Source organism: Homo sapiens, chromosome 12 (assembly GCF_000001405.40).
Source record: "Homo sapiens chromosome 12, GRCh38.p14 Primary Assembly".
Taxonomy (NCBI): Eukaryota; Metazoa; Chordata; class Mammalia; order Primates; family Hominidae; genus Homo; species Homo sapiens.
In genome coordinates this window covers 116,953,054-116,976,535 of record NC_000012.12, presented here as the reverse complement: position 1 = coordinate 116,976,535, position 23,482 = coordinate 116,953,054, and the positions used below count along the sequence as shown (strand labels likewise).

The window sequence follows — 23,482 nt, the reverse complement described above, 5'->3', positions numbered from 1 at the left end:
TGCAGCGAGCTGAGATTATACCACTGCACTCCAGCCTGGGCAACAGAGTGAGACTCTGTTTTGAAAAAAAAAAAAAAAAAAAAAAGGATCCTTTGGAAACAAAATACCAAAGATTAGGTACTCATCATCATGCATTTTTTTTTTTTTTTAAAGAAAAGGGGAGGGTGCAGGTGGGGAATAGCTTGAAGACAAATAGCAAGATACAAAAAAGAGAAATGCTGAGGATCCCTGATTATAACCACCACCAAAAGAACACAAGGGTACCATCTAATCTCAGGCCTCCAAGTCAGCCAGACAGCAGAAAAGCGGCAAGCACATTCTTTTCTAAGTAATCATGTAACATTGTTTTTAAATGGCATTAAATTGCTATGGGAAAAATCCAGTCTTATTTAATCCTGTAATTTGATAGTCTTTTTTGATTTTGAAATAATTTCAGACTTACAAAAATGTTATAAAAATTATGCAAAGAGTTCCAGTTATAGCTTCATCCAGCTTTCCCAAATGTTAACCTATTACATAACCATAGCAGAATGATGGAAGCCAGGAAATTAACGCTGATGCAACATATTTAATCTACAGATTTTATTTGCATTTAACCTGTCCTCTTACCAGCATATTTTTTCTGGTCCAGGATCCAATCCAGAATTCCACATAGCATCTAGCTGCCATGTCTCCTTCATCGACTCCAATCTGGGGCAATTACTCAGTCATTCCTTGTCCTTCATGACCCTGACACTTTTGAAAAGTACTGCTCATTTATTGTGTAGGCCTCTCAATTGTCTGCTGTTTCCTCATATTTAAAATCAGAAGGTGTTGTGCCTTCCCAGTGCATTATGTATCAGGAGGTACATAATATCAAAGTTTCATTACTGGCCATGTTAACTATCATCACTTGGTTAAGGTGGTATCTGCCAGTTTTCTCTACTGTAAAGTTACTGTTTTTCTCTTACGGAGTGATAATTTCACACCATGCAAATGTCCTGTTACTCATTGCTCATCTGAATGTTGTGTCCCCCCTACCACCATTTCAGTGTTAAAATCCTAACCCCCTAAGTGATGGTACCAGGAAATGAGACCTTTGGGATGTGATCAGGTCATGACGACAGTGCCTGAGAGCTCCTTTGCCCTTTCCACCATGTGAGAGAAGGCACTGCCTGGAAGGAAGGGCTCTCGCCAGACATAGAATCTGCCAGTGCCCTGATCTTGGACTTTCCAGCCTCCAGAAATGTCAGAAATATACTTCTGTTGTTTATAAGTCACCCAGTTTATACTGTTTTGTTATAACAGCCCAAACGGACAGAGACATTCATCACATTGATTTTAACATCCGCTGGTGATTCTTGCCTACGACAATTATGATTACGGTGCTTGCCAAATGGTGGCTTTCTATTTTCATCATCCTTTCCCATACAGCAATTCAACTACTACTGTAAGGAAGAGCTATCTCTTCTCCTTTATTTATTCAAGTATTTATTGATACCAATATGGACTCATGGGTAATTAATTATCCATAGGTTATAGTCCATCACTATCATCATGTTTTGTTGCTCAAGTTGTCCTTCCTTTAGCCCTCAGGAGCTCCAATTTAGTTCTACTGTCCTATAGATGCCCTACCTTCATCTTTTTATTTATTTTAAACATCCTTACTTTTGGGTCCCATAAAATGTTCCAGATTCATCTTGTATTTATCTGCCCTAGCCCTTGTTCCTTTTATTGAAGAACATTTAGAAACCAAAATCTGGGCACTAGCTGTGCTTACTGTTACCAGGGTACACAATATATTCTTTTTTTGGAGGCAGGTGTCACTCTGTCACCCAGGCTGGAGTGCAATGGCATGATCATGGCTCACTGGAGCCTTGACCTCCCAGGCTCAAGTGATCCTCCTGCCTCAGCCATGCTTCATTTTTATTGGATGACAGACATTGTGAATTTTACATTGCTGGTTGCTAGCTTTTGTTGTATTCTACAAAATAGTATGGAAGTTTATTCTGATGCAAAATTAAGACACTCAGAATCGGCTGGATCCTTTTGTGGCTTGCTTTCCAACTTTTTTTAGGGGATCCCGAGCAGCTTTTAGTCTAGGGCTGAATTAGCCCCATTACTAAAACATGGTACCCTTCTGAAGATTCCACTCAACAATCCATGTATTACGAGGTCTTTTTACTCTTGGGGAAGTGCAAACTATTCTTAGCCTCATGTGAGCTCCAGGAATTGTTGTGCCTTCTCCTTTCAGGTAGTTCTTTCCCTGATCCAGGTATTTCCTCTTACACATGTGCAGAGTAGGACTCAGCCAAAGACTCGAGGGAATCCTCAGCCAATCCCTGGGGTTCTCCCTCTGGGAGCTCCCTCTTCCCCAATACTCTGGCCCACAAATTCTATCCACCTTGGCTTCCCTGAGCCCTCACTGGGGCCTCCTCAAGTCAGGGAGGCCACCAGACTCTGTTTAGGTCCCCCTCCTTGTTTGGAGTTTCCAGCTGGTGAGCTGGTGTAACTGTGGGCCTCACCATGTTTGTTCTCCTCCAAGAGATCACAGCCATGGGCTACTTATTTTCCAATGTCTAGAAACCATGGTTTAATATATTTTGTCCGGTTTTCTAGTTAAGGTGGAAAGATAAATCCAGTTCCTGTTACTTCATCTTTCTCAAAAACACGTTATTTTTTATCTTTTTATTTTGAAACTTTCAAAATTACAGAAAAGCTGCAAGAACTTCTATATACTCACTGTTCAGATCCCATTGCCAACTGTCCCAGTAATGTTCTTTGTAGAAAAACAACCCAAGCCAGGATGACACACTGCACTCCATTGTCAGGTCTCTCTTCTCTTTCCACCTGGAATAGTTCTTAAGACCTTCCCTGAGTTTCATGACCTTGACAGTGCTGAAGAGGACAGGCCAGTCATTTTGTGGAATGTCCCTCAGTTTGGGCTTGTGTGATATTTTCTCGTGATTAGATCAGGCTGTGCACTTTTGGCTGGAATAATATCAAAGAAGTGATTCTGTGTTTTTTCTCACTGCATCGTGTCACATGGCACAGGTTATCAATTCTACCATTACTGATGATGTTAAATGTGATCACTTTATTAAGACGGTTCCTGTTAGATTTCCTGACTGCAGAGTTATCTTTTCCTGCCTTTTAATTAGTAAGTGTTTAGTGGGGAGATTTTTTGAGACCATGTAAGACCCCATCCCTCATCCCATTCTTATCCTCTGGTTTTAGCCTCAATTGATTTTTTGTCTGAATCAATTATTACTGTGATGGTTGCCAATGTGTAATTTTCTAATCCCATCATGCTTTCTGCATTTATTAGTTGACATTCTACTATAAGGAAACTTTTCTCTCCTCCCTTTTTATTTATTGATCTGTTTATTTTTATCATGATATACTCATATATTCCTATTTTATTCAATGGGTTGTAACCTGTTATTATCAATATTGACTTTGATACTCCAGTTGTCCCAGGTTTGGCCAGTGGGAACATCTTCAAGCTCACTTATGTGTCCTTGTGACATGTTGTCATCATTCTTCAAGCACTTCTTCACTTCAGTGCAATCAGATGGTCCAGGCTTACTGTGTGGTTTCACTGCCCCATCCCTGGAGTCCACCATTTCTCCAAGCATCCCTGGTTCCTTTTAGTAGATAGTGATACTTTCAACAGCTGGGCTGTTGATGCTCTTACACCTTCTCAGCAAACAAAGCCAGGACACACATAAACATATATACATACGACATACATGTACATCTCTGTTTACTTCTCTATCTATATTTAACACCATAAATTCCACACCGATGCCTCCTATTCCAATCCAGCCCCACAGGGTTCATTCTGGCCATCCCCTTTCCGTACTTGAGCCTTCCTTCTCCAAGCATGAGAGAACTGGCTCCCATGAGCCTCAACATACTTACCTCCTCAGTCTCCCTGTATGCCGCCAAGCTCCCAGGCCACTGCCTCGCTCAGCTTCCCTCTCACACTGTCCCTGGCCCCCAGACCACCTTTCTACTCCACTTGGGCCCGTTTAATGGCCTTTTGAATGAAAAGGCAGGCAAGCAGATGCATTTTGCTTTTCAAACAAAAATATATTCATTCCACAAATATACTTACTTCTAGTTTGATCAAGCCCTAGGGTTCAGAATGAAATAAACGCTACAACCAAAACTGCACATAGTGAAAGGGAAATTAAATTCTCTCACTTAAAATTCGATTTATCTTCCTTGAGAAAGCAAATAAATTCATGCTCAGTTGTCATTAGGTACACTTAAGAACTTGGGCAATTTATTTCTCCAGTCTAAACTATCTCCCCAAAGCTACCTTGTGCTACTATTGCTTCTTTCAGTTTGTAACTCAACTGTAATAAAATAGAACAGCTACTGTGAATTTATGCATCTTAATGTCTATTATTAAAAATCAGTTTTCAGTAAAACCACCTCCAAGAAACCAAAAGAGTAACACTAAATCTTATAGTGTAAATTTAATGTGCCACATTTTTCTACAGGAGAAAAAATATTTCAATTTACTTTCACTAGTAACTTCAAAAATGCATAGTTATCCCAGAAACTGGTCATCCATTAGTCTGTGCCTACTAGCATACTATGGTGCCTTTCCAGTGTTTCTTAACTTTGAGGGCTTGTAGATTCCTAAAAATTCACTGTGGACGCCACTTGGTGTGAAAAACAATTCATGACAAGGTCAATACGGGCATGCAGGTGGTCACTTGGTACCAACAGCCTCAAACACAAAGTGTAAATTCTGGTACCGAGATCCCACAGCACAGTTGAGTAATGGGGTCAAAAGATCTAGTTTTATTTTTTTTAAGATTACCATAAAAACAAAAGCACAGATTTAAAAAAATTCCTACAGATCTCACAGCTCTCACCCAAAATCCAATCTGTAGACTCTCATGTGAGGCCCACTGCCCCATTATTCAGATATAACACAGATTCTACCCAGAGCATGTATCATTTCAAGCTCCTGTCACTGAGGAATAGAAAAAACTTTTAAAGAGCGTTTGTATTCAACAACTTCCTCCAGCCCCTAATACAGTCTCTGTGGCCTGTCTGTGAAACAATCTCTAACATCCTAGATATGCCAGGTGGAGGTCAACTTAAAGTTCAACGCCCTAAAAAGGATTTCTTAAACACCAAAACCCCCTCAGTTCAGAATTCTGCCTTTTTTTTTTTTTTGACTGGGTCTTGCTCTGTTGCCCAGGCAGAAATGCAGCAGAGCAATCACGCACAGCTCACTGCAGCAACTTCCAGGGCTCAAGTGATCCTCCCACCTCAGCCCGCCAAGTAGCTGGGACCACAGGTGCACCCCACCATGCCCAGCTAGTTCATTTTTTGTAGAGACGGAGGCTCACTATGTTGCCCAGGCTGGTCTCAACTCCTGGGCTCAAGAGATCCTCCCACAGCACTGGCATTACAAGCCTGAGCCACCACACCCAGCCTAGATGTTTTAATTCCCTTCTGAATGTTTAAAATGTGAGCATTCCTAGTGTTAAAAAAAAAAGTTTACATTTATGAACATACCCTATCTTTTACAAGGACTATACCTGGTGTGTTTTTTTGGTTTCTGTTAGAAAGTTGTCTCATTCTGTTTTGTTTGCAAAGTGTCTGAATATGAAGACTAGATTCCTGGACCTAAGGGTGAGTAGGCAAAGGTACCAGGCAAGAACTGATGATTGAAACTTTTAGGACAAGACTGACTGGAAAACAAAGGCCTTGAAAAAAATCAACTTCTCCACAATCCATCAATTGCCTTAGCCTTCTCGCAAGCAATGCTTTAACATGTTAAGAATCACTTCTAAAACTTCAATGTTGGGGGCAGGGGGGTAGTTGTTTACTGCATTCAAAGGCCATGTCATCACATCCAAATGTCATCATCAGCATACAAACAAAAGATACAAGCAAAACAACTGAAGAACTATTTTTTACTAAAAACAAAATCTTAAGTAAAACTTTAGAAGTACCTAGTCTCTACAGCCGTCTAACTAAAACATGGTCCTACTGTTCACCGCTAAAAAGCAGCTTGGAGAGACCCACCCCCGTCCATTGTTGATACGTCAGTAAATGAGAAATCATAGTCACCTCCGCCCAGGGCAGCCACAGTCCCGGACAATGGAGCATGTGTGCGTTCAGACAGTTGCACTGGGAGTGTTGCGGAGGTGGATAAGCCACTTTGCCGTGCTTGATGGCACCATATAAAGAGGACTGCTGGCTGTCCCGTCCAGGCTTCCTCATGCTAATATGCACCAGATCGCGTCTCTCCTCTCTCTACTGAGGGGGACAAATAAAAACTTCTTTGCACCTAAGAAGTGTGTAATCTCATTTCTCACCAAAGAGCGAGATTTCAAGACAAACTCGGTGACCAGGGAGCGGGTTTCGAAGCACACTGCCATTCCCTAATGCTGTGGCACGAGGCCAAAGGCAGGCAAGCACGGAGCAGATGGAGTCCTGGCAAGGTCTCCGCCGTCCCTGCATTAGCAGCATCTGCTCATTACTCAGAACCTTCGCCTGCTTTATCTAATGCTCCAGGAAAAGCATTTTGATTTGATTCATTTCGGTATGGTAACGTGCAACACAATTAGTGGTAAAATCAAACTGGAGGATGGCCAGTGCTGACAATCGGAAACAAGGCAGAAGAAATATGAGGCCAGAGGGTTGGAATTCAAAAAATCACAACTGTGGATCACCTTGCCAAATCTCAACACCCCAGGTGCATGTACAGTGTTCCTACGGAGCAAAGAGGCTAAAAGGGATGCAGGGATGACTCCCTTTCCCCAAAGCAGGTTCCATCTCCCCCTCTGGATACGATTCCCTCCACCGAGAATGTGCGTGTAGACCAGCGAGGGCGTTTCAATGGCTACAGAGCCTCACTTTGGCACAACCAGAGAACTGAAGTTCATTAACTCATTTTATTGTCTTATTCTTCTTTTCCGTGTCACAAATTTTAGACAGCAGAACCCACAAGGTAAAATTCCTTTTTTTGTCATGTTTCTGCCTCAGAAGTGCCAGTTAGCTGCTCCTGGAAAGAAGCAATATAAAAATGTGGGTTTATTTGAATCTGTCTTTGCCCAAAAGTAGCTATTCACGAAAATGTTAGTGTAAATATCATAGTGTCGATCTGTTAAACTGAAGGGGGACCAAAGGTAACGCCACCTGACGTCTGGGGAAAGAATAGAAGTTGTTGTTTATCACAGAAACAGTAACAACCCGAATCAGACCAATGAAACAAGCTCAGCATGAGAGGGGAGCAGGGAAACACAAGGGCTCTAAAAAAGGAAGAGCCCTTAATACCAAAATGAACTTGAAACGAATCAAAGATTTCAATGGAAACACTGCAGCCTTGGAAGCACTTATAGATTTTACCCAGGCGTTGAGTAATCATCTTCCCAACCATGACGTGAAACCCCAAAGGACAAGACTGACAAGCTTGATGTAAATTTAAGCTGCCAGACAGACCAACTGAAACAGAGCACAAAGTTCAGAAACAGACCCAGATACAAAGTGAATTTCATAGCTAAAAGCTTATAAAGGCAGCACCTCAAACCAGTTAGGTAGAAATGGGCTCTCCGAGAAGAGATGCTGGAAAAAAGATGTACTTGGAACCATACTGCATGCTAATCCAAGACGAACTTGTCAAGATAAAAATATAAAAAATAAGCCATAACAGTAACAGAAGAAAAAGAAAGAACTACAAGTAGCAGGTACACATTTTTTTTTTAATTTAACCTTTCTCACATTAAGAGAAATGTAAATTAAAACTACACTTGGTGACCATTTCTTCTCAAACTGATGAATACCCAAAAGCTGGAAACATACTTTGTTGGCAAAACTGTGAGGAAGCGGGCACACTCTCATGGCTTGCTGGTAAGAGCATAAAATAGTAAAACCCCACTTGCATTTACCCTGTAACCCAGAAAACAATCCTCCTTGCACTTGTGTGAAATGTCATCTTTACAAGGTTTTTCACTACAACACTGTAACGGCAAACACAACACAACTGTCCTTCAATAAACCAAAGTGCTTATACACAATGGAATTACCATTCAGGTGTGCAAACGGGGTACTCTCTCTACACAGACATGCACTCCCTTTTAAGATATGCTATTTAGAGAAAAAAGCCAAGGTGTGGAATCATGTAAAGTAAATAGTATGCTATCTTTTGTTTTTTAAAAAGGGGGCAATAAGAATATACACACTCATATTTTCTTGTACTTGTAATACTAAAATACAAGGATATACAAGAAAGTAAAAAATATGGTTACTTCAGAATGGAGCAGACAAAAGTGGGTGGCAGCAAGATTTCTCAATATATAACTTTATATTATTTTGATCTTTGAACCCTAAAAATGTAGTAATCAAAAACATTAAATTACAAAATAACCCCACTCACTTTTAGATTAAAAAATTAACATTGTTCACACATACCAAGTACCTTCTAGAAAACAAGTCCATTAAAGAATAAATGACAAGCCAGGCGCGGTGGCTCAAGCCTGTAATCCCAGCACTTTGTGGGGGCCAAGACAGGCAGATCACTTGAGGTCAGGAGTTCGAGACCAGCCTGACCAACATGGTGAAAGCCCAGCTCTACTAAAAATATAAAAAATTAGCTGGGCGTGGTGGCAGGCGCCTGTAATCCCAGCTACTCAGGAGGCTGAGGCAGGAGAATCGCCTGACCCCAGGAGACGGAGGTTGTAGTGAGTCGAGATCGCACCACTGCACTCCAGTCTGGATGACAAAGCCAGACTCTATCTCAAAACAAACAAAAAAGAATAAGTGACTTACGGAAAAAATATCGGAAACACATATGGCAAGGATTATTTCCCAAGCTTTCTTTTCAACCAGAAAAGATGACAACCCAAAAGAAAAATGAAGAAAGACAGGAACAAACAATTTGCAGAGAAAGAAATAGAAACAGCTAACAACACACAAAGAAAAGATGTCCACATGTAATTAAAGAAAGGCAAACAAAGACAATAAAATGCCATTTTTACCTGTCAGTCACTCTCACATACTTTTGGTGACACTATAAACTGGTGAAACCTTTTTGGAGGGCAATTTGGCAATAGTTATCAAAGCCTAAAGCAGCCAAAGCCTGCAGCCATAGCCTCCAACCTAGCAATCACTAGCACCTCACCCCAGGGCCACCCTTGGACAAGTCCATCCTGGCATTTGTTCAAGTATATTGCTTGCAGCACTGTTTTCAATAACAAAAATGAACAACTCAAATGTGTATCAATGAGGACCCTAATAAATAAATGATGGTACAGCCACATAATGCAGTACTACACAGGCATTAAAAAGAATAAGGTTTACCCTGTAAGTGTGAACACGGAAGATCACCAAGATGTGCCATTAGGTTATTAAAAAAAAAAAAAAAGGTGCAGAGAAGTATACAGAGCAGGACCCCCCACGAGTAAAATGCGAGAGGGCCTGGAAGTGGGACAGGGAGGAATACCTCGACTTCTTTTTGCATACTTTTTCTTTGTCATTTTATATACATTTTTGCTCTGTTTGAATTCTAACTATGACTTTAAAAAAAAAAAGAATTTAAAATACATTTTGGCAATCACTTGCGAAGCATTTTACCAAAGAAAGCAGATTCTTAGCCTGGCCAACATGGTGAAACCCCGTCTCTAGTAAAAATACAAAAATTAGTTGGTTGTTGTGGTGGGCACTCATAATCCCAGCTACTCGGGAGGCTGAGGCAGGAAGGAGAATCACTTGAACCCGGGAGGCAGAGGTTGCAGTGAGCCGAGATGGTGCCACTGCACTCCAGCCTGGGTGGCACAGCAAAACCCTGTCTCAAAAAAAAAAAGTAGATTCTTTATCATGCCTACATTGTTTCCCAACATTTCTGTGCAACAACAGGGGATGAGGGCAATGAAGACAATTCTCACAATATAAAACCAGCAGCAGCACCCCTGCACATCACCTCAAGCTGTATTTTCAAGCTCACGAGATGTGAGACATGGGCTGCAAATCAATTGGGCGCACATTTCTACAAGAGTCTTTATGTTCAGGATTCCACAAACAGCACGACCACCGCAGCACGGCCCTGGAGACACAATCACAGTTCTGGATTCACTGCTGACTTCAACCTACCTGGCTTCTTTGCACCTCTGTTTCCCCATCTGTAGAAGAATATGTGTGTGCATGTTCGTGTGTGTGAATGGTAGGGAAAGGCTATTAGATGATCCTAAAACTATATGATTCTAACTTAAAAGTACTGCAATCTTTGCATAGGTATTTTGGAAACAAAACTCATTGATAATTTGGAAAGTAGCAAACATGTTCAAGCTGCTCTTATGGTATCTATCCAGGGTCTCAATAAACATATGAAATATTAATTATACCACAGAAACAGCTCAGCTGAATTTCTATAGGCTGAAAAGGAAATCCATCAGTAGTGTCTACTAACATCAAACCAACATCACGTTGCTAAAGTAATTATATAAAATATAAAAATATTTTCAAGGCCAGGTGCAGTGGCTTATGCCTATAATGCTAGCACTTTGGGAGGCTGAAGCAGGTGGATAGTTTGAGCTCAGGAGTTCAAGACCAGTCTGGACAACACGGCAAAACTCCATCTCTTAAAAAAAAAAAAAAAAAAATTAGCTGGGCATGGTGGCATGCGCCTGTAGTCCCAGCTACTCAGGAGACTGAGGTGGGAGGATCACTGGATCCCGGGAGGTTGAGGATGCAGTGAACTGAGATAGTGCCACTGCACTCTAGCCAGGGCAAAAAAGTGAGACCCTGTCTCAAATATATATAGGTATGTATGTAAGATCTCAGCCCTAATTTTTATTTTTAAACAGCACATGGGTATAAAATTCCCCATTAGCTACTTTAGTTTTGTTCCTCTGAGCCAACTGCTAATGTCACACTGACTCTGAAGATTTGCAGTGGTGCCATGACATGAACACTTAACATTCTGAAATATGCTGTGGTCCCAACTTTTGGGCAAGTGGGGACATGAAGCTTGTGGAGATTCAACACTTCACAACATAACGGAGGATAGGAGCATGACAGGTGGGCATACTGGATATCATGGCCATTGAAATGACCATTTCTAGTAGTTATACGCTGTCAAGAGTTTCTTTGCATAGATAAAGCTAACTTTAGACTATTCGTACCTAGTTCCAAAAATCCATAGTTGTTCATGTACAAAAAGAATTCTATCAATGTCAAAGAGAAAACATATTATTACCAATTATCTGGTATGGTATATTAAGTGACAGGAAAAGGTAGGCACTGACTTTTATTTTTCTATAACTACATTTATCAATAGATGACCTATGTCTATCCCCTTTTCACTATTCCCTTTGGGCTGAGCAGAGGCTAAAGGAAAAGTAGGCCAAGTATATTTAATATTTTACATCAAACAAGTTATTTGCTTAAGATGCTTTGGCCAGCCTTGTGTCTGGCACTAGCGCCCAGCCTGACAGTTCCAGTAGGAATTAAACACCAGTTTTAATGGGTGCTGTGTTCCAATGCCTACTAATGCATTGACGGTTGTTGGCCAACTTCTTCAAATAAAAGCAAGAGTGAGTGTATGTGTGTGAACATGTGTGTGTGCCCACGTGTACATATGGAGGGATTACAGGGGGGAGCCGGCCACAGCTGCTTAATTTTTGTAAAGCTTTTTTTTTTCCTTAATAGGGAGGAGGGTTGTGGTTACTTACCATCCTCATAAGCTGCTACTGCCAACGAGCTGTTTATCCTCACAAAGGAGACATTTGGCTGCATTCCAGGCTCATCCTCCTCGTCCTCTGATTCCAGGAAGGGGGCTACGTAGTCCCAGGTGCGGGTGTCCCACACTCTCACATCCCCTGATGTATATCTGGAAGAGAACGACACACTTGGTTCCAAAAGGAGATTGAAGAGCAGGGCTATGGTGGGGAAAATGCACAGAGCCTTACAACAACAGACAAGTAAGAATCGGGTGGTGTAGAGCCACTGCTGAGGCACTGTTTAGATGAGTGACTCCAACAGGAGAAAATGTCAACTAGATGACAGAAGGCTGTGAACACGCTTCACATTCTCACAGCACAATGGTGACAATTTCAAATGAGAAAACAATAATAAGACATGGGTAGCAAGATCTCCTTGCTTTTCCTTTTACACTATTACAACAATCTGCTCCTGCAAGCTCTCCCACTACAGGGATCACTTGCAGAAATTTGTATAAGCCCCACTATTTACCCACAAACGCACACACTCACTCACAGGAAAGACAGAGAGAGATGCTGCAGGGATACTCAGAACTAATGGTCTCACAGGCACAGGCTTTCTAATACCTCATCCATGCATCAGATTTGACTGATTAAAGTCCCTGAAGACTAATTGATTTGCTGAAACAATTAAATCTTGCCTTTAGCAGCCAGACAGTGCTGCCTGCTCATGAAAAGCTCTTGCTGAATGCGCGACACTGCCCGGTTTTGCCCACTTAGAAAATAGAAGTACTCACTCTCTCCTATGACTAGTGCCACTCCAACAAATGACTGCTTCCATCAAAGCCAGGCCAGGCCGAACCTACTCAGACTTGAGGCCCCCAGGATGACAGAATGGCCAGATGATAAAGTGGGGTGCTGCCCATCACCAAGGTATTTAAGCTATGTTGCTTATGTCTGCTGCAGAGGGTTTTACTCCACTTGTACAGCAACTGAGTGTTATGGGGGGAAAAGTGGTGAGAAATGCCTTTAAGGGCCTCATGATAGAACCACACAATCACAAAGATAGGCCAATGATTTTAAGGGGGTTCATAGTCTTCCTGAGGCCCTAGCCATAGTTCCTGCAGGGTTTCTTTGCCGAGTTGATGAGATAACCTCTGAGATTCACTGAGTCACTGAAATCTATGATGTGACACATTAGTGAAGTAGCTATAGAAGACCAATCTGGAATTTCTTGGTTTTTGTTTTCTTTTGTTTGTTTTTGAGACAGGGTCTCACTCTGTTGCCCAGGCTAGAGTTCAGTGGCACAATTTCGGCTCACTGCAACCTCCGTCTCCCAGGTTCAAGCAATTCTTCTGCCTCAGCCTCCCAAGTAGCTGGGATTATAGGCGTGCACCACCATGTCCGGCTAGTTTGTTTTTTTAGTTTTTAGTAGAGATGGGGTTTTCCCCCAGCTGGTCTTGAACTCCTGGCCTCAAGTGATCCACCCACGTCGGCCTCCAAAAGTGTTGGGATTACAGGTGTGAGCCACCACAGCTGGCCTCAGGTGGAATTTCTTATAGAGAAGTACTCTGATTCAGGAGTGCTTTGTTTACTAGTAGTACTGCACCCAAATTCTTAATCTACAGTAAATACATATATTGCACAGTCCAAAGGCCATTCTGTCACCCCAATTCCTTGGTTGGAGAACTTGGCTCTCTACCTGCAGGGTGGCACCCAGAGAGTGCGCATGTGGGATAAAGAGCCAAACGGGAGAGACGTGCTTTCTGAACCTGGCCTGCTGTACCTCTGGGTTGACCACTGATCCTCCAGTAAACAGAAACACAAGATGAATGTCCTTAAGCCCAGCGACGTGCAAGCAAGGGCAGATCCTGAGATCACCCCAGCCAAAGCACGGCCACTGGCCCCCAGGCTCTCCAAGCAGCGGTCAGCTCACCCTTCTCAATGAGGAACCCTATACCAGAACACATACCCTGGAGCTCACTGCCCTCAAAATACCGGGCTCAGTGTGACACCCTGAGAACGACTCAGGCCATTTGCTGGAGTAAGGCCACTTGCTTAGCTACAGAGACACAACAGATGAGACATGTTTGAATGTCTAGACTGGGGGACTAGATTCTTAAGGTTAAATTCTATGTGACAGGAACCAGCCAATTCAGGAAAGATGAGAAGGATGGCAACGTCTTTCAGAAATACACAGATGGTAAGTGAAAGAAAGATAAAGGGAATTCAGATCAGAAAAGTAAGGCACGTTCAGAAAAAGAAGTACATAAACTAGGAAACTGTATTTCCTTCTTGCCAGTCTCTGTCCTTCTGCTTCCTGCTAACCATGTGTCACACCACACCAGCAGTCTGCACACTGTTTTCAGTGGTGCCCCCCCAGGGGACACAGTGGGGAGGCGAGGGTGGAGAGGAAAGACGGTTTAGGTGGCCTCAGCTCCAGCCCCCCAGCTCCCTGAACACAAAGAGTTCGGAGCCAAAATGACAGCAAAACAACAAAGCTTGGGAAAAAGGTACTTTAGCTGCTGAACCAGACAATAGTGAGCTGTGAAACAGAAACTGTTGAGCCCGCTCCTTACTCAGAGAAAGAGAAGAGAGTGAGGGCAGGAACCCCACAGATAACAGCACTCTATTCATATCTGAGGGGCTCCTGGGCAAGCCTTTCTCCCACAGAGGAGGTTGGTCCACTCACACTGTGACTCCACACGTCTAAAATCAAATGCTTCAGCTCATGGCCAAGCTAGCCTGTGTCTGAATTCCTTATTTTTATCAATGGGATCATCAGTCCCAGGTCACTGGTACAGAAGGAGAGGGGCCCCTTCAACACCGCTGTGGCCCACTACCCGCACCACTATAGATGCTCAGGTGCCAAGCTTGTTCTGTTCTGCTCATTCCCAGAGAAGCCACCCTGGTCCAAATCCCCCAACACCTCACATTCACACCCGACTACTACAGGCTCCCTGATTCGGAGCTTCTTCCATTCAATCCTCCCCCCACAAGCCAAGCCCTTCAAAACACCTGACTGCATGAATCTTTCTTCTGGAACCATTTCCTTTACTTCCTTTCTCCCTCACATGCCACACTACACCGCACTACGATCTACCTTCACGGCAGCCTGGACGTCTCCGTCATGGCAGTGGTGCATGTCTGTGATCATCTCACTGTTCATCTCCCTACCAGCCTGAAGCTTCTGAGCTCAGGGTCTGGGTTTTGTTCATAGCTGTGCATGCAATGACTGGAACAGACAGACTAGAACAGCGCTTGCCATATACCCAGAGAACCCTCTATAAAGTCTTACATCTTAACACCTTATTGAATGAAATTTTAATTATGAGACCTACTGAAAACCCACCACAAACTAACTTCCACCCCTCTCCCCAGCCTCATTTTCTACTCTCCCTTCACACGGGCCGGCTTCCAGAGAGGATCCCAAATGCTCTTGCCTCTGAACTCTGATTCTCTGCCCCACCTTGCTGCAGTACCTCACCTCCTCACCTCCCAGCCCAGTGGGGTCCAGCCTGGGCTGCACATTAAATTTGCCTGGAATGCTTTAAAAAGTGCAGATACAGGCCGGGCACGGTGGCTCATGCCTGTAATCCCAGCACTTTGGGAGGCTGAGGGCAGGGGCAGATCACCTGAGGTCAGGAGGTTGAGACCAGCCTGGCCAACAGGGTGAAACCTCGTCTCTACTAAAAATGCAAAAATTAGCCAGGTGTGGTGGTGCGTGCCTGTAATCCCACCTACTTGGGAGGCTGAGGCAGAAGAATCGCTTGAACTGGGAGGTGGAGGTTGCAGTGAGCCGAGATTGTGCCACTGCATTCCAGCCTCCCAGACCAAATAAATCTGACCATTTGGGGATAGAACCAGGCATCAATGTTTTCAATATACAGCCAAGATTGAGAATCACCAACCCAGCCCAATCCTACCAACCCCTCAAGGTCTAACACAGGCCCTCCCCTCCCCTCCTTGAAGCCTGAAGCTTTCTGACTCAACTACTATGCCCTTTATCTGAAGAAACTGCTTTTACTAATACAGTCCTTATGCATTGATCGTCTCCTCAACTTGACTGTAAAGTCTTCAAGAAGGCCCTACCGCAGTGCCATAGCCTCCATCACAGTGCCTTATGCAGAGCTCATCATAAATAGTGACTGAAAGGGGGTGTCCGCAGGTAACAACCTGACTGGCTTGAGGGGTACCTCTTTATTTCCACTGCCCACTTTCCAATGGTAATGATGAGTGAAACACCCAGAATGTACACACTGATGTGCATTAGACTGCTTCCACTTATTTCCAAACTGAATAAAAACTATAAAACAGGGGATAAGCTAAATTATTTCAATAAACATGAAATTTTCCATATATCTATTTAAATTAACTTCATTCTCCATGACCAAAAGGTATGATAATAACATAAATGTTTTGCTGCAAAATGACTCAGGAGGTAAAATATAAAAGCCTCTACGTCTCCTGTATTGACAGGAACTGAGACTAAATATGCTACTGCAGCAGGTACTGCATTATGACTCAGCAGCGGGCTCTCAAATCTAACCTAAGTGAAAGCCACAATAGCATGGGAGGCAGCCTCCATGCTCATGAACTTGTGCTAAGGAAACAGACATCTTTGGTAGGGTAAAACACAGGTTGGGGCAGAGGGACCTGGACCAAACCCTAAATGTGATCTAAAAGTGCTTAACAACATTGGCCAGGAGCAGCAAGAACAGATAACGAATGGAGGTAGGAAAAAAGGCTGATTTTTCTCCAGAGCTCCAGATGTCTTTATCGCTGCCTAATGACAATTACACTCAACCAATTAAGATGCCACTATGACAGTTACATTGTCAGTAAGCCTTTGGAACCCAATGTTGATGGCTCTCTAATTAGCGTCTGTGCAAAGTACAACTGCAACTAATATACTAGCTGATGTAAGAACACTAAGGAAAAACTGAAGAAGAAAGAAGTCTTTTCCAAATGAGGATATGCCCCAGCCCAGTGAAGCTGTGTGCTTTCCCAGTCTTTTCTACACTTGGCAAGGTTGAGTTTACCTCTAAATAAATAGGTCAGAGACCATAGCTGATTTTTTGTTGAAAGAATGGGAATAGAGCCTCTCTCAAGCTCTGCACGACAGAGGGATTGACAATTTAAAATGATTTACCACCAAAGAGCTTTCATTAACTAGTAAGTTTCCAATAAGCAGACTACTTATTGGACTAAGGGACTAGAAGAATAAGAAGGAATAAATACTGTACAGCTAAAAACAACCTTTCTTCTTCATAAGTATCCAGCAGCGTTTCCATTTTGCTTCCAGGTGTCAGCTCTTATTTGCTAAAAACAAAATTTTTTAAGGCCCTTCCTAGCAAGCTGGGGGGTTGTTTTGATTTAAGAATGCTGAGAAGTAAGGTTAAGTGACTTACCCAGGGTCACAAGAAACATTTTAGTGGCACAGCTGGGATCAAAATGTGCCCCAGGTTTTTCTCAATCACTGCTTAGCCAACAAGCCACTCTGCCTCCTCAGATGACACTGTCTTTAAACAAATACTGCTTTTAAGAACCACCCCCATTTAAGTGCAATATAAGGAATTTATTGTTTTCAATATTATGACTCAGGTTTGCAGGACACAGCCCCTGACCCTAACCCATCAATTCGACCACTAAATTGCAACTGGAAGGCGAGAAGCCAACAAAAAAGGCTCAGTATGCTGGGAGCAGGACTGGGAGCTGAGCAGATGCAACCTGTTGCCTCCCATGCCTGCTTCTCAGGGGATGCAGGAGAACATATGGAACCGTTAGCAAGACTTCTTTCTCTACAGGATCATACACAAACAGCCACTCCCAAACCAAGTCACAGTTCTGTTCTGATCAGGCACCCAGAGCAGCCAAGAGGGGCCCTGTTATGAGGCTTCAGGCCAGGAACAGCAAATGGTTTCGTTTGTGTGTCAAATCCAGTACATGGTAGTGGTTGCCTAGAGCTCTGTGTTGAGAAGGATTCTGAAGCTGTGTTTCATCCAGCTTACCAGAAAAACAAATGCAGTAATGAGTTATTCATGATCACTACTGGTTGGGGAGTGAGGAGGGCAGCATCTCTGCCCCATATAAAACTCCACCTGGCCAAGTCCTAGTCATCCTTCTGGATTCAGGTTGAAAGTCATTTCCCAGCAGGAAGCTAGCCTGATGCTGAGCCTGTATGAGGTGCCTCTCCCTAGCATGTTATGGCACCGTGCTCCTCCCCAACCCTAACACCTCCCAGAGTGTTCTGTAAACACCAGTAACTGGATCCCTTGGCAGCCTATAAACTCGCCATGACCAGGGGGGTTGTGTGTGGTATTCATCCATGCTTAGTGGGTGTTGACGGAATGAATGAATCTACTGACTTAAACCCAGAAGATGGAAGTGGTTTAAAGCCTACTGAGCAATCAGGCAGAGGCTCCTAAAACTGCAGTGTCCACATTTCAAGAAACATTCGTGCCCTTAATATGTAAAAGTTTGAAGAACTATTCACTTGCTCCTTTGCTTCTTTGGTATTTCTTTGCTCCTTTGCTTCTTTGGTATTTCTTCAGTAATATCAAAGAATACCAATCAATAAAAGCAAGAGTATTTACTATTTTCTATGAAACACGATGGGGTTGTATTATGCAATTAACAAAATGAACTCAATCCCACAGTGCAGAATCCTTCTGTGGAAATGCACTACAACAAACATCAAGTGGGGCTTAAGACGCATCAATTGAAAAATAATGAACGTCTTAATGGACCTTATGAGATACATGCACTACACACTTAAAACTGTTTTCCATACATCTTGGTTAATCACAATCAATAGAGTCAGAGTCAATGATGATTATGCAGAGTTATTGTAGCTGTGGCCCTTCCCATTATTCCTCGGAGAACCAGAGATGGATAAATGCAGTCATGAGTTCACCAGTATTTATCAAGGATATTCTGGAGCTCCTTCATTAAAGATATAATAAATGTAATGCTCTCCTCTAGTCACTTATCAATATCTTACCTCAGACTTATTTACCAGAAGAGCATGTATACCTCACAGCAGAAAATAAATAAATTTAAAAGTATTTTTAAAAAGAGGTCCCTAACGGGTAATGATCGAGTTCCTTATGGGAAACAGTCCAATGTCACAATAACTAGCAGCAGAAAATCTATACAAAACAAGGTTTAAAGGAAAACTGTTAGGGGAAAAAGTTTTTTTAAAAAAGGAGAAAAATGGAACGCATGTCCTTAGTAAGTATATATGGGCAACATTTATCTCACACAACCTTATACCTATGTTATTTACAAAGCATCTGTTATCTCAACAGTCTCAAAGTAATCCATAGGCAGTATTTATTTTTCACACATACATATAAAACTAAGCGAGTGTTGGAAACACGATCCTTGAGGGCTTCAGTTCCCGAACAGAAAATATTTTTAAATTCAGGGCAAATATATACGTATTCACATTAAAGCTACTATTCATATTTTGGCATGGTATACAGTCGATAAAAAGGTCCTTTTTTAAAAAAAAATTTTTTTTGAGACAGTCTCGCTGTCACCAAGCTGGAGTGCAGTGGCATGATCCTGGCTCACTGCAACCTCTACCTCCCGGGTTCAAGTGATCCTTGTGCCTCAGCCACCCGAGTAGCTGAGATTACAGGTGTGCACCACCATGCCTGGCTAATTTTTGTATTTTTGGTAGAGAAGGGGTTTTGCCATGTTGGCCAGGCTGGTCTCAAACTCCTGACCTCAAGTGACCCACCTGCCTTGACTTCCCAAAGTGCTAGGATTACAGGCATGCCACTGTGCCCGGCTAATAACAAGGTACATTTGTAATTACTGGAAAAAGCAGAGGACAACATAGCTAAAAGCAAGGTATTTCAAGTTACCTTAGATGACTTTGTTTATTTTTTGGAGATGGAGTCTCACTCTGTTGCCCAGGCTGGGGAGCAGTGGCATGACCTCGGCTCACTGCAACCTCCACCTCCTGGGTTCTAGCGATTCTTCTGCCTCAGCCTCCCGAGTAGTTGGGATTACAGGCACGTGTCACCATGCCCAGCTAATTTTTCTATTTTTAGTAGAGACAGGGTTTCACCATGTTAGCCAGGCTGGTCTCAAACTCCTGACCCTAAGTGATCCACCCACCTTGGCCTCCCAAAGTGCTGGGAGTACAGGCATGAGCCACTGTGCCTGCCCTGTTTAAAATTATATTTTCCAATACTTCTTAATTGTAAAACAATGATAAAATTCCACTGAAGGGCCAACAGGCAAACTGAACCAACCAAAGATTCAGACACCAATTTTTACATATATAAATTTGAAGCTCCAAATTTTGCTCTCTGTCTACAAAGAACTGCAAACCCTCTCACTCTGACGCCAGGGTGTATGAATGGGGCTCAGAAAAATAAAAACATATTTGAATCAGGCCATGTCTGGCAGCTGAAGCAGCAGCCAGAGATCACTTGGTTGCTAGAGAGGTATGGGCAGTTTTGTTTTGTATCTACTTGGGCACACTTGCCTCAAAAGGAATGAAGCAAAAATGGGACAACTGAGTGTTTTTAGGGTAAGAAGAGCGCTAATGGTTTGCAGCAAATGATACAGTTCTCCTTCCAACCACACTAGGCAGAAGAGAAGCATGGATACACAGCCCTGCTCCTTCCAGCAAAGGCAGGAACGGTATGCTAAAAAGGCGGAAACCAGGGGAGAAAATATTTAGGAGTAATGAAAAAAACCTCAACACAAACAGGTTGCTTGGTGTTTTTTTTAAAACCAAAAGAGAGAAAATGTCCTCTCATATGAATAGAAAAGTGTGTTTTCTTATGCCAACTAGAATGCTTTAGCCTTATGAATCTCAAGTAACAATGAGGAGAGAGTTTATTGCAAAACACCATCATACTCCTGGGCATCTGATAAAAGCTTCTGGTGAGCTAATGGCTTAATGGTTAGCAGAGCTGGCACAAGGCCTCCAAGGAGCTACTGGTTCTACCTGAGATGCACTCTTCACTAGGTGGCTCTCCTTCACTACTTATGGCAAACGACACCTAGCCCTGCACCTCAGGTTTTATACTGTCTTTTTTGAACTCATGATGTCATCTGATTGCAACACTTAACTTCCAGAGGGCAACTGGGGAGAAGGAAGACGAGAACAGTCTAAGCATCACAAAACAGAACAGGGATGTTTCCATATGCCCCTTTCTTCTACTCTTTCTCCTCAAGGATAAACATACAATTTTCAAAACATTCTAAAATTCTAAGAGCTGTTACCACAATAAATCAAAGAAACAAACAAAAGACATGTTTCCTGAGCACTTACTATCAACTAACTTTCTAGACAAACTCTGTGCTAAAACACAAGGAAAACACACACTAAACCTCGCTAGCATTTCAGGAGGTCCAGCAGATCACAGATACAAATGCAGACAGGCGCTGAACTTTGAGAGAAAGACAGGTGACTGATTCTGTAGAGACTGGTGACTTATGAACATAAATTTTTCTCAAGTTACAGAAATGAGAAATTTTCGCTGAAAAAGCAAAGTAAAAGTTGTGTCTGAATGTCTCAGTCGCAGTTGAAGGCACGTCCACTTATCTCTCCAACAAAGAAAACAACTGGTGCAGGTCTTTTCTGCGCTGCTGCATATCCTTGCTAAGTGGTCAAGTGACAGCAGAGAAAGACAAGAACGAGGGCCAGAGAAGGCGCTCACGGAGGTAATGGAAGTCCAGAGAGTGTGGAATCGCCGAAGGGGAGTTTTCCTTTCTTACACACTTGGCTCAAAGTTTCCTGGGTCCTGGGAAAGATGTTAGACTCTGAGGGCATACAGATGCTTAATACAGGGCCCCCCCCCCCCATTTCAAGAGGGGAAAGTCAACAGCACCAAATGTTGCCAAGAGGCTGGAGAGGACGAGCCAAGAAAAGGCTATTGGTTTGTTGACCAAAAGATCACGGGTGACCTCTGAGAGTGCAGCACAGTGGGGCTGGGATGGAGCCAGCTGGAGGGAGGTTAGACGGGGAGGAAGGAAGAGGGGCAGGAGGCACGGGCTCTCACTATGTACAGCACTAACAGGAAGATGGCAGGGATGGTTTGGAGACTTCAAGTCAAAAGGTTAGATTGCAAAGAAGCTGAGGGCTACAAAAGCACTTTTAAATAATTTATTAATCTGGAAAATAAAAATTCATTCCCCTAAATCCAGTAATTCTGCTTACAGGACTCTAGCCTAGGAAAACAATCAGGATTGCAAGACTAGGAGACGATAATGAGAGAACTTTAACTCTTTATTTTATATACTTATATAGAATTTCAAGTTTCTACAGTAGCATGTGTCTAATCATTTTAAAATAAAGATTTGTAATGCTAAAAAGGAGAAAAATTTGCAGACATCTATACATAAAATATTCATAACATACATATAACAAAACACAGGAAATGACCTTAATGTCCACTATTAGGGGAATAAATAGGGAAATTGGGGTATAATTATCCAAAGTGTTTTTGCAACAAGTCAAAGAAAGTAATGAAAAATATGCAACATGAAAAAAATTCATCAGTTTGGTGAGGGAAAAGGCCACAAATCTAACAAAGGCTACAGTCACACTATGAAAAAACATGCATAGAAAAACAGACTGAAAACCAAACCAGACACATGGGAGACCTTAATAAAGGTTGTGTTCCATGCTAGAATTTGAGTGGCTTTCTCTTCTCTACTTTCTAACACGGTTGCAAAACAACATGGTTTTTACCACTGCTTTTTCTTTTTTTTTTTTTTTTTTTTTTTGAGACAGAGTCGCCCTGTCGCCCAGGCTGGAATGCAATGGTGCGATCTCAGCTCACTGCAACCTCTGCCTCCCAGGTTCAAATAATTCTCCTGCCTCAGCCTCCCAAGTAGCTAGGATTACAGGTGCCCGCCACCACGCCCAGCTAATTTTTGTATTTTTAGTAGAGATGGGGTTTCACCATGTTGGCCAGGCTGGTCTTGAACTCCTGACCTCATGATCTGCCCGCCTAGGCCTCCCAAAGTGCTGGGATTACAGGCGTGAGCCACCATGCCCGGCTGGTTTTGTTTTTCTTGTTTTTTGTTTGTTTGTTTTGTTTTGTTTTTTTGTCTTTTTTTTTTGAGATGGAGTCTTGCTCTGTCGCCCAGGCTGGAGTGCAGTGGCGCGATCTTGGCTCACTGCAAGCTCCACCTCCTGGGTTCACGCCATTCTCCTGCCTCAGCCTCCTGAGTAGCTGGGACTACAGGCACTCGCCACCATGCCCGGATAATTTTTTTGTATTTTTTAGTGGAGACAGGGTTTCACCGTGTTAGCCAGGATGGTCTCGATCTCCTGACCTTGTGATCCGCCCGCCTCGGCCTCCCAAAGTGCTGGGATTACAGGCGTGAGCCACCGCGCCCAGCCGGCTGCTTTTGTTTTTAAATAGACACATGCCACAAAAGAAAAACCAAAATGATGCTATAATAGCCAAAGCTTCAGAGCAGCAAATGAGGGCTGGAAACGGCAGCCTCACCAGCCAGCCCTGCCTGTGGATGCTGCAGAAACACAGCGGAGCGGCTCCACTCACGCACACCCAGCCTGGCCCTGAGCCTCTGCCACCTCAAGCAAGATGAGGGTCTTGGAACGCATCATCTCTAAAGTTCCTTCCAGGTTTAAAAATGTATGATTCTAAACTGAGAAAACTAAGAAAGTAGAGAACAGACATAGGCATTTCTCTAGTTTCCCATATAACATCATATATAGGTGGCAGGGGACAAGGGGAGTCTGTGTATTAAGTTTTAATGCTTACTCCATATAAAACAGTATACATTTAACAAAATATTACATACCACTCATGGTT

The 23,482-nt window shown here is 42.9% G+C and overlaps 1 protein-coding gene across 8 annotated transcripts in view; it reads right to left on the bottom strand.

The window, feature by feature from the left end:
- The window catches only part of FBXW8 (F-box and WD repeat domain containing 8), a 120,199-nt gene that overhangs the window by 54,613 nt on the left and 42,104 nt on the right, over positions 1 to 23,482 (bottom strand). For all 8 annotated transcript variants that reach the window (XR_001748654.1, XR_007063065.1, XM_024448937.2 and 5 more), the window contains one exon: positions 11,682 to 11,839. Coding sequence is in view for 6 of the 8 variants with exons in the window: in XM_024448937.2 (XP_024304705.2) it covers positions 11,682 to 11,839 (158 nt within the window). In the remaining 2 variants the exon portion in view is untranslated. The remainder of the gene's footprint in view (positions 1 to 11,681; positions 11,840 to 23,482) is intronic.